Genomic DNA, 12,184 nt, shown 5'->3' on the forward strand with positions numbered 1-12,184 from the left:
TGCAGTGAGCCGAGATCCCGCCACTGCACTCCAGCCTGGGCGACAGAGCGAGACTCCGTCTCAAAAAAAAAAAAAAAAAAAAAAAGAAAAAAACAAAAAAACAGGAGGCAGAGGTTGCAGTGAGCCAAGATCACGCCACTGCACTCCAGCCTGGGCAACAGAACGAGATTCTGTCTCAAAAAAAATAAAAAAGCAGTCAGTTCAGCAGTTACCTCAGGGTAGAGGGCATTGGCCAGAAGGGAGTTGAGGGAACTTTTTGGGGTGACTAAGTTGTTTAAAACCAATTGGGACAGGCGTAGTGGCTCACACCTGTAATCCCAGCACTTCGGGAGGCTGAGGTGGGTGGATCACTTGAGGTCAGGAGTTCGAGACCAGCCTGGCCGACATGATTAAACTCCATCTCTACTAAAAATACAAAAATTAGCTGGGCGTGGTGGCACGCGCCTGTAATCCCAGCTACTCAGGAGGCTGAGGCACGAGAATCACTTGAACCCAGGAGGCAGAGGTTGCAGTGAGCCAAGATTGCACCCCTGTACACCAGCCTGGATGACAGAGCAAGACTCCATCTCAAAAACAAACAGAACAAAAAACAAAAACAAACAATTCAACTTAGCCCTGAAGATCTGTGCATTGTGCTGTAGGTAAAGTCTCAGAGGTCAGAGGTTGCTGATGCAGAGGACCCAGGCTGACCCAGGTCCAAACCTTAGATCCTCCTTTGCCTCCTGGCCTGGCCACCTCCTGCCGTGTGGCCCTCAGCAGATCTCTTTCTGGCTGAGTCCCGACGGTCTCATGGGTGAAGTGGGATGATACTAATCGTGTATCATTGTTGTGGGTTTGAGATGAGTATATGAAGACCTGGCTGACAGCCTGTCCACAGCAGCTGCTCAGGAACTGTTGACTGCTGTTCTTTTAGCCAGACTATTATCAAATGTAATTTCTATTTTTAAAAAACTCTTCCCATTTCCTTTCCTCTTGCAATCAGTCTCAATAGCAGTAAGAAATAAATAAAAATGAAGATTCTTTGGGAGACTTAGTTTTGTTTTTTTTTGTTTTTTTGAGATGGGGCCTCGCTCTGTTGCCCAGGCTGGAGTGCAGTGGCACCATCACAGGTCACTGCAACCTCGACTTCCTGGGCCCAACCGATCTCAGCCTCCCGAGTAGCTGGGACTACAGGTGTGTGCCACCACACCCAACTAATTTCTGTGTATTTTGTAGAGACAGGATCTCACTATGCTGCCCAAACTGGTCTTGAACTTCTGGGCTCAACCGATCCACCCGCCATGGCCTCTGAAAGTGCTAAGATTACAGGTGTGTGCCACTGTGCCCAGTCAGTTTAATTCTAATTAAGATCAAGATTATCTGTAAATACGAGTTCCCTCTCTCCAAATCTAGAATTTGCTGGCATTAGTCACATGTCTGAGGAAGCTGACGATGGGACCCACATTGAGATACTAATCCCAGGGCTCGGTGGTTCAGGGCACTGTACTGACAGCATCTTGACTGCTTTGCCTGTTGCCTGGAAGGGGTGCCGTGTGGCGCCTGGCAGGTGGCAGAGTGGCCAGAGGCCATTATTACTCTCTTGAGTTACGGTGTTCTCAAGCCCAGCTGAGTCCACACAGCCGATGTGGATGGACTAGGACAGATCCGATGACTTAGTGTCCAAGTTCAATTGCAAATGCAGCCTCATTTCTTTCTTTGAAGTAGAAAATCAAAGTTCATAGATTAGATGAAAGAATAGTCATTGTACAAAAGTAATTATAGTGTGTGTACTTTTCTTTATCTACAGGAGCTGTAAAATTGACAAGCTTGGCATGTGGAAATCAGCACATCTGGGCCTGTGATTCCAGGGGTGGAGTTTACTTCCGTGTAGGGACTCAGCCTCTCAATCCCAGTCTCATGCTTCCAGCCTGGATAATGATTGAGCCACCTGTCCAGGTAAGCAGAAGTTAGCTGGTGGAACTCACTCTTCAGTAAGACAGAAACTGTGAGGATGCTGGTACTGGGAAAAAGGATCTGCACAGCCTCTAGAGGCCTCCCAGCAAATGCGGGGAGCCATGCCCCCAGGGTCTACACACTCTCGTTCATCAACATCACAACTGGAATTCGGGATTTGTGAAGTTTAGAGCTGAACAGACTGTTACAGATTATGAGTCAACACGTATATTTTCTCTTTCAAAATAATAATATTTCGTTTTTGACTTTTTACTAAGTGAATATTATTTTTTAAATCTGCCTATATATTGGAACCTCTATTTTATAATAATAATGATAATAAATCAGTACCCAGAAGTATAAAGAAGGTAAAAGTTACTTTGAATCTTGTCATGGAGAAAATGCTGAGTGCCTCTCCTGGTTTGTTGAAGAAATTCCGTTTCCTGTCCAGCCCACTGCTGGCCAGCTCCTGCCATGTTTCAGCTGACCGTGCATCCCAACACAGAGTCTGTGTTCTCCTGACCTCCAGCACTCAGCTCACAAGGAGAAGTCTGATTTGAATGTACTATCTAGTTACCCTTAAAGATCCCACAGGCTTGGTTCCTGTGCTGAATAGATTTCTGTTGAAGTTTATAACTGGGGGCTGTGGTTTTTTGAGACTTATTTGCCCAGACTCCTGCCAGCCCCCATTTGGTGACTCTGTTGGGAAACAGGTGAAGTTGCCAATTGTGGAGGCAGCAGTGGGGCAGGGGGGATGGTTCGTTGTTGGGCAGAGAAACCTTCAGTGGAGTCAGGAAAGAGGTAAAGAGTAGGGTAAATGCCTTTGTGCATAACTGTCTACATTTTGGTCATGGTGAGGCCTCAGGGATGAGGACACCAGTGGTGTCCACCAGCCCTGGGGAGTGTGGTGGTGGGAGAACCTTTACTGAAATCAGCATTCGGCTCCAGAGCTCTGTGGAGGCCACCACTAGCGGTCATGGCCACAGGGAGGCTTCTCGTCCTCCTTGGTGGGTCTTCCTCCTCCAGAGGGTGATGGGGATGATATTGTCTATGACAACACTTTGTGAATGATACGGCACTGTCAAACATGAGGTTGTACATAATGAATTATAACACATGCTCTGTTTTCCCTCTGCACACGGTGACGTACTCATAGTGGCACAGAGGGAGAGTCCACCCTGCAGAGAGGAGCCTTCCTCACTGCCATGTTTAGCACTGCTGGGGCACAGTGATTATGAAAAGCAAGCCGCCTGTCGTTAGTTTCATTATTGTCCTTAAATTCTCTGGTTGCCCGCACCCAGGTGGACTCCTTTGACACACCACTGTCAATACGTTCCTTTTTTTCCTTCTAACAACTTTATATTTTTCCTTTTAAGTTACAACCCGCATAACATAAAATTTCAGCCTTCTACAGTGTGCAGCTCAGTGGCTTTAGCATCAGTTAGCAGCAGTTAGCACCATCCAATTCCAGAGGGTTCCCATCACTCCAAAACAGAGAGAACACCCTTACCCATTAGCAGTCACTTCCTGTTCTCACAGAACCAGCCCCTCCGCCCATGGCAGCCACTCATCTGCTTTCTGTTTCTATGGCTTTGCCTATTCTGGACATTTTATATAAATTGGATCATATAATATGTGGCCTTTTTTATCTGACATCTTTCACTTTGTATCATGTTTCGGAGTTCATCCACGTTGTAGGTGTATCAGTTCTTAATTCCTTTTTATGACTACATCACAGCTCTGTTGTATGGATAGGCCACATTGGTTTATCATTTCACCAGTGGATGGACATTTGGATTGTTTCTGCTTATTGGCTACTGTGAATAATGCTGCTGTCAACATATGTGTGCAAGTCTTTAGGGAGGATGTATGTTCCCAGTTCTATTGGGTATCTGTCTGTAAGTGGAATTGCAGGTCATGTGGCGATTCTGTGTTGAACTTTTTAAGGATGTCAAAGTGTTTTTCACAGTGGCTGCACCATTTGTGTTCCACCAGCAAGATATGAGAGTTCTAGTTTTTCCCATCCTCACCAATTTTTTTTTTTTTTTTTTTTTTGAGCCAGAGTTTCGCTCTTATTGCCTAGTCTGGAGTGCAATGGCGCCATCTTGGCTCACTACAACCTCCGCCTACCGGGTTCAAGCAATTATCCTGCCTCAGCCTCCTGAGTAGCTGAGATTACAGGCATGCACCACCATGCCCAGGTGATTTTTGTATTTTTAGGAGAGACGGGGTTTCACCATATTGGTCAGGCTGGTCTCGAACTCCTGACCTCAGGTAATCCACCCTCCCCCGGCCTCCCAAAGTGCTGGGATTACAGGCATGAGCCACTGCGCCTGGCCTTTCCAATTTTTTGTTGTTATTTTATTTTTCTGGTCTCAGAAACTGCCTCATATGTCTAATTTTTTAATACTAGTCATCATAGTAGTTGGAAAGTGGTATCTCATTGTGGGTTTGATTTGCATTGACCTAACAACTAATGATATTGAACATCCCTCTTTTCATGTGTTTATTGGTTATTTGTGTATCTTCTTTCAAGAACTGTGTGTTCCTTTTTTCTTTTTTTTTTTTATGATGGAGTCTCACTCTGTTGCCCAGGCTGGAGTGCAGTGGCGCAATCTCTGCTCACTGCAATCTCTGCCTCCTGGGTTCAAGCGATTCTCTTGCCTCAGCCTGCTGAGTAGCTGGGATTACAGACATGTGCCTCCACGCCTGGCTATTTTTTTTTTTCCATATTTTTTTAGTAGAGGCAGGGTTTCACCATGTTGGCCAGGCTGGTCTCAAACTCCTGGCCTCAGGTGATCCGCCCACCTCGGCCTCCCAAAGTGCTTGGATTACAGGCGTGTGCCACCACGCCCAGCCTCAAATCTTTTGCTCATTTTTAAATTGTGTTATCTTTTACTGAGTTTGTTTGTTTGTTTTGAGATGGAGTCTTGCTCTGTCGCCCAGGCTGGAGTGCAGTGGCATGATCTCAGCTCACTGCAACTTCTGCCTCCTGGATTCAAGTGATTCTACTGCCTCAGTCTCCTGAGTAGCTAGGATTACAGGCATGCACCGCCATGCCTGGCTAATTTTTGTATTTTTAGTAGAGATGGGGGTTTCACCATGTTGGCCAGGCTGGTCTTGAACTCCTGACCTTGTGATCCGCCTACCTGGGTCTCCCAAAGTGCTGAGATTACAGGTGTGAGCCACCGTGCCCAGCCTGTTGAGTTTTATATATGAGTTCTTTATGTATTCTGGGTACTAGACCTTTATCAGACACATGATTTACAAGTATTTTCTTCCATTCTGTGCATTGTCTTTTACTTTTTTATGATGTTCTTTGATGCACAAATATTTTTATTTTGATGAAGTCCAGTTTATTAATTTTTTCTTCATTTGCTTCTGCTTTTAGTTGCCTAATCCAAGGTCACAAAGATTTACCTCTATGTTTTCTTCTAGCAGTTTTGTAGTTTTAGCTCTTACATTAAGTGCTTCATCCATTTTGAGTTGATTTTTGAATATGGTATGAGATAGGTGTCCAAATGCATTCTTTTACATGTGGGTATCGAATTGTACCAGCACCATTTATTGAAAAGACTATTCTGTCCACATTAAATTATTTCAACACCCTTGTCAAAATCAATTGATTGTAAATATAAAGGTTTGCTACTGGACTCTTAGTTATATCCCAGTGATCTGTGTATCTATCCTTAAACTACACTGTCCTGATTACTTAGCTTTGTCGTAAATTTTGAAATCAGGAAGTATGAATCCTCTAACTTTTTCTTTTTCAAGATTTTTTCAGCTACATGGAGCCCCTCCTACATCCATGTGAATTTTGGGATAAGTATGTCAATTTCTGCAAAAAAAAATACTAACTGGAATTTTGAAAGGAATTGTGTCGAATCAGTAGATAAATTTGGAAAATCTTCCAGTCTGTGAACATGGGATGTCTTCCCATTTATTTAGATCTTCTTTACTTTCCTTCACCAATGTTTTGTAGTTTTCAGAGTATATGTTTTATACTGCTTTTGTTAGGTTTATTTCTAAGTTCTGTATTCCCTTTGATACTATTGTAAATGGAGCTGTTTTCTTCATTTTCAGATTGCCCATTGCTAGTATAGATTTTTGTATATTGATCTTGTGTCTGGCAACCTTGCTAAACTTGTTTATTGGGTCTAACAGGTTTTTGTAGATTCTTTTGCATTTTCTATAGATGAGATCATGGCTTCTGACATGGTCTGCCAATAGAGATAATTTTACTTCTTCCTTTCTATCTGTATGTCTTTTATTTTACTGTCTTGCCTGATTGCCCTGGCTGGAACTTCTAGTAAAATGTTGAGTAGAAGTGGCGAGAATGGGCCTCCTAGTCTTGTTTCTGATCTTAAGGGGAAGGCATTCAGTCTTTTACCATTAAATATGATGTGAGCTTTGTGTTTTCTTAGGCTCCCTTTATTAGGTTGAACTTCCCTTCTACTCCTAGAAGGAATTCTAGGAGTTCTTTCTGTTCCTAGTTTGTTCAGTGTTTGTTATGATGAAAGGGTGTTGGGTTTTGTCAAATGCTTTTTCTATGCCTATTGAGATGGTCATCTGGTTTTTTTCCTTTATTAATATGATATATTATACTGATGGAGTTTTATATGTTGAAACACAGTTTCATTCCTGGGTTAAATCCCAGTTGGTCATGATGTGAAATCCTTTGTATGTATATGTTGCTGGATTTGGTTTGCTAAAGTTTTGTTGAGGATTTTTGTGTCTATATTCATGAGAGATATTGGTCTTTGGTTTTCTTGCCATGTGTTTGTCTGGATTTGGTATCAAGGTAATGCTGCTGGCCTCATAGAATGCACTGGGAAGTGTTTTCTTCTTTTCTACTTTTTGGAAGAGTTTTTGAAAGATTGGTTTTATTTTTTACACCCCATTTGTTAGAATTCGTCATCCCATCCATGAATTCATGTAGCCATGTAGGCCTGAACTTTTTTTGTGGGAAGTTTTTTTGACTACTGGTTCAATCTCTTTATTCATTATAGGTCTATTCAGAATTTTTTTTTTTTTTTTCTGACATGGAGTCTCGCTCTGTCACCCAGGCTAGAGGATGTTGGCGCGATCTCGGCCCACTGCAACCTCCGTCTCCTGGGTTCTTGCAATTCTCCTGCCTTGGCCTCCCTAGTAGCTGGGACTACAGGCATGTACCACCACACGCAGCTAATTTTTCTATTTTTAGTAGAGACGAGGTTTCACCATGTTGGCCAGGCTTGTCTTGAACTCCTGACCTCAAATGATCCACCCTCCACAGCCTCCCAAAGTGCTAGGATTACAGGCATGAGCCACTGCACCCAGCCTATTCAGAATTTTCTATTTCTTCTTCTTCTTCTTTTTTTTTTTTTTTTTGAGATGGAGTTTTGCTCTTGTTGCCCAGACTGGAGGGCAATGGCACAATCTCAGCTCACTGAAACCTCCACCTCCCAGGTTCAAGCAATTCTCCTGCCTCAGCCTCCCAAGTAACTGGGGTTACAGGCGTGCACCACCATGCCCGGCTAATTTTGTTTCTTGTGTTTTTTTTTTTTTTTTGAGACGGAGTCTCGCTCTGTCGCCCAGGCTGGAGTGCAGTGGCACGATCTCAGCTCACTGCAGCCTCCGCCTCCTGGGTTCAAGCAGTTCTCCTGCCTCAGCCTCACGAGTAGCTGGGATTACAGGCATGCACCGCCACACCCAGCTAATTTTTGTATTTTTAGTAGAGATGGGGTTTCACTATGTTGAATAGGATGGTTTTGATCTCCTGACCTCATGATCCACCTGCCTCGGCCTCCCAAAGTGCTGGGATTACAGACGTGAGTCACTGTGCCCAGCCTAATTTTATATTTTTAGTAGAGATAGGGTTTCACTATGTTGGCCAGGCTGGTCTCGAACTCCTGACCTCAAGTGATCTTCCCACCTCGGCCTCCCAAAGTGCTGGGATTACAGGTGTGAGCCACTGCACCCTGCCTCTCTTTCTTCTTGAGTCAATCTAAGTAGTTTATTCTTTCTAGGAATTTGTTCATTTCATCTATTTTATCTAATTTGTTGGCATCCAATTGTTCACAGTATTCTTCTGTAATACTTTTTATTTCTGTGAAATTGGTAGTAATGTCTCCTCTTTCTGATTTTATAATTTGAATTGGCTGGGCACAGTGGCTCATGTCTGTAATCCCACTTTGGAAGGTTGAGGCAGGAAGACCACTTGAGCCTAGGAGTTCAAGACCAGCCTGGGCAACATAGCAAGACATCATCTCTACCAAAAAAAAAAAAATTACCTGGACCTGATAGTGCACCTGTAGTCCCAGCTACTCAGAAGACTCAGGTAGGAGAATTGCTTGAGCCCAGGAGTTCAAGGCTGTAGTGAGCTATGATTGCCAGTTTTATTGCCAATTGCCACTATACTCCAGCCTGGGCAACAGAGCACAACGCTAATAATAATAATAATAATAATTTGAATCTTCTCTCATTTTTTCTTAGTCTAGCTAAAGGTTTGTCAATTTTGTTGCTCTTTTCAAAACACCTCCTTTTGGTTTTCTTGCTTTTTCTGTGTTGTTTTTCTATCCTCTATTTCTTCTATTTCCACTCTGTTACTTCCTCCACACATTCTTGTGCACAGTGCTTTGCTTGATAGTGATATTCCTCTGGTAGCTCCAAGGAATATTTGTCACAATTATCACGTACATGTGGAAGACCTGTGGTAACATTGGACTGTAAAGTTTGTAGGATCCCAGTGCAGAGGCAGGCTGCTGAGTGCAAGAGCGAGATTTGCAGGATGTGTTGTAGAAAGAACGTCCTTGAGTGGGTTGAGCGCCCATGTGCCTTGCCTCCTCCTTTTCCCAGCAAGCCAGAGGCCAGGATGCTGGAGAGTAGGGCAAGCAGGAAGCTGCCGATCTCAGTCCTCAGTGGGGCTGGAGCCACCCTTGCCTCTGCTGTGTGCACCTCTCTGCAGCCATGGGGCCACACAGGTACCTGGCAAAAGGGTTACATGGAGAACGGTGTGCAACCACAATTTCCTGTTCCTGTCTCCATGTAGACTCTAGAATAACCTCTAGGAAGCAAAGCTAAAATGGGGAAGAGAGCTTTGCTTAAAGTGCTCTATTGACTGTGGTGATCAACAGCTTTGCCAGGAAAATGGCCAAAATAGAACAAATTCACATGAAAGGACCTCAAAGCTCTGCTCTGAATAAAGTAGTGATTGCTAAATGGGATGTTAAGCATGAACTATTTCAAGTAGTTCTGCTGAATAGAGCCACATTTTCTCATTGAGTTAGCTTTTAGCATGCTATGGAAGACATTCAGTTTGCCATGGATTCTGTAGATACAAAATGCTTTTCAAGTTGGTTTCTGTGGGAAAGAAATCAGGCTTCACATGTACACAGGCCTTTCTACTGCACTTTGCCAAGCACTGCCTTATCCTTAACCCTTTTATTGCCCCAGGAAATAGAAAAGTCCGTAGTTCCCCCTACTTTACGAGGAAATCTGTTACCCAGAACAGTTGAGCAATTTGCCCAGGATCCCAACTCTGGTGTGTGCCAAGCCCAGGCAGGGACCCAGGCCCCCAGCTCCCAGGTGCTGCCCCTGCCGAGGCTCCCCTGGGCTGAGGAAGGCGCTTCTCCCGGGCTGCTGGCACTGACGATTGTTTGCTGAGATCAGAAGTGAAGACAAGCTCTGCTGCCAGGCGCTCGCCTTGTGCCAGGCTAATGCCTGAAGCACATCTTTCCCTCAGTCCTCACAACAACCTGGGAAGTGACTGCGTCTTTCCCCATTTGACAGAGGAGAAAACCCTAGCTCAGAGGTTCAGAAAGTTGCCTGAGGCCTCATAGCGGGCAGGCGGCAGGGGTGGGACATAGACCCAGGTGTGTGACACCCGCCTCTGCCTCTCCTGTGGCTCTGAGGTCCAAGGCCTGGGCCAGGACCAACTGCAGGATGGCAGCAAGCACCAGGTTGTGGCGACATGTCATAGGCTTAGTGGCCTCACACGTCGTATTTTAGGACAAAGCCTACACATGCGAATCTTTAAATCGCAGAGGGTCCTGCAAATGAGCCCAGGAGTGAGGGGAGATGGGGGTTCACTCTGAGGACTGGAACGTCAGAAGAGTTGGTTGAATCTGAGGATTGGAGAACAAGCGGGGTTTATGTATTTTGATTATGTTCTACATCTTTCCACTTTGTTTTATTTGTTCTTCGACTTGAGCTTCTTCATCTGCGTAGAGGATGTATTTGCAGTGGAAAAGGAAATGGAGGCAGGGGATAGATGCTCAAGGGCACATGAAGTGAAGCCACAGAAATCTTTTAAAATTAGCATCAGCTTCTCTATTTAGTTCTGTTGTCCTATTCTCTTCTCTGGGAAGATACCCCTCCTGTAGTAGTTTTGCGGTAAAGTTTTAACAAAGTACTCAAAACAAATGACTCAGTTTTCAGATTTGCTAACACTTGCAAGGGTTTGGAGAAAATATTTATAGTTGTGTTTAGCATCTTCATAGTCTGGAGTTTGCTGTTTGAGTTAGAGAATTTTCTGTCTGTGTTAGAGGTACCTCTAACGCAAGCATAGTTGGTGTGAAGTTTCACATTCTGTGTGCCCCATGTGCTTGAGTAGAAGAGGTGTCTGTTCTTACTGTGCTTACAGTGGACTCTGAAATGGTGTCTATGGTGTGGTTCCAGTTTTGTAAAACAAAACTATAAAATCCCACTAGGCTGGGTGCAGTGGCTCATGCCTATAATCCCAGCACTTTGGGAGGCCAAAGTGGGAGGATCACTTGAACCCAGGAGTTCAAAATCAGCCTAGGCAGCGTAGTGAGACCCCGTCTCTACAGGTAATTTTTTAAATTAGCCAGGTGTGTTGGCGTGCACCTGTGGTCCCAGCTACTCCAGCTACTCAGGAGGCTGAGGTGGGAGGATCACTTGAGCCCAGGAGGTCAAGGCTGCAGTGAGCCATGTTTGTACCACTGCACTCCAGACTGGGCAACAGAGCAAGACCCTGTCTTAATCAATTAATAAAAATAAAAAATAATTTCTCACTGAAAACCTAGAAGAAACTACAACAAAGGTGACTGTTATGGGGCCGGGCACGGTGGCTCATGCCTGTAATGCCAGCACTTTGGGAGGCCCATGTGGGCAGATCACCTGAGGTCGGGAGTTCAAGACCAGCCTGACCAATATGGAGAAACCCCGTCTCTACTAAAAATACAAAATTAGCTGGGTGTGGTGGTGCATGCCTGTAATCCCAGCTACTCAGGAGGCTGAGGCAGGAGAATTGCTTAAACCCGGGAGGCGGAGGTTGTGATGAGCCGAGATCGCGCCATTGCACTCTAGCCTGGACAACAAGAGCGAAACTCCATCTCAAAAAAAAGACTATTTTGATCCAGGGATTATAAGTGATTAAAATTTACCATGTTTTCCCATAATGGGTAGGAAAACTTTTTCATGATCAGGGAGAAAAATAGGTATATTTTACAAGGGACCCATCTTTTGTGGGTCAGTGAGCAACCTTTCTTCTCCGAGGCACGTCTCTGACCTACCCAGCCCATATAAATCTGAACCCCAGTAGGTTGTCCCCCCTTCCCCCTGCCCCACACAAAGATTTTAGAGCTAGAAGGAGACTGGAAAACACATAACCTTGCCACTTCCTTCTGCAGATGAGGAAAGCAAGGCCTGGCAAAAGCAAGGTTCCTGGTCTCAGGGTAGTCAGTGGTTGTGCCGGGCCTCCTCAGCCCCTCATCCTCAAGGCCCACAACAGAGCAGCGGCAAGAACAGTCCCATCCAGGGACACTCACAGGCTACCGTAGAGACACACGCAAACCACTGGCGCCTGTGCTTCCAGAGCTGTGGGCAGAGTGCCATGGAGCCAGCTGGAGAGGGAAGTGCTGTCAGGGCCTTGGAGTGGTCAGAGGATCTCACAAGAGGTGGCACTGGTACAAGAAAGGCAAGTAGGAGTGTAGCAGGCAGGCAGGACAGAGGGTGTTCTAAGCAGAGGGGACATGAAGTATAGGCACTGAGCAGAAGGCACCCTTGCCCAGGGTGCAGAAAGGGGCTGTATTGGGAGACTGGCACAGGCCGGGGCAGGGAGGGCTGGGCTAAGGCATTGGCATCATTCTTGAAGAGTTTGAAGCCAGGCAGGTGGCCTGGTCAGACCATGTTTGAGGAAGGAGCCTGTGTCACAATTCCCTGTGACCAGTCAGAGGGTCTTCTGCTGGACAGATCACATGCACCCATAAGTAGGTCAGATGCCCAGGAGTGTTTTGCCTCAGATATGGAG

The 12,184-nt window shown here is 45.2% G+C and overlaps 1 protein-coding gene across 2 annotated transcripts in view; it reads left to right on the forward strand.

Annotated features, from left to right (window-relative positions):
* The window catches only part of TECPR2 (tectonin beta-propeller repeat containing 2), a 139,537-nt gene that overhangs the window by 100,414 nt on the left and 26,939 nt on the right, over positions 1-12,184 (forward strand). Inside the window, exon 17 of one of the 2 annotated variants that reach the window (NM_014844.5) lies at positions 1,787-1,935. In NM_014844.5, coding sequence (NP_055659.2) covers positions 1,787-1,935 — 149 coding nt within the window. Of the gene's footprint in view, positions 1-1,786; positions 2,297-12,184 lie in introns of those variants that run through there. The other variant, NM_001172631.3, reaches the window with a different exon arrangement.

This window comes from Homo sapiens, chromosome 14 (assembly GCF_000001405.40).
Source record: "Homo sapiens chromosome 14, GRCh38.p14 Primary Assembly".
NCBI classification, from domain to species: Eukaryota; Metazoa; Chordata; class Mammalia; order Primates; family Hominidae; genus Homo; species Homo sapiens.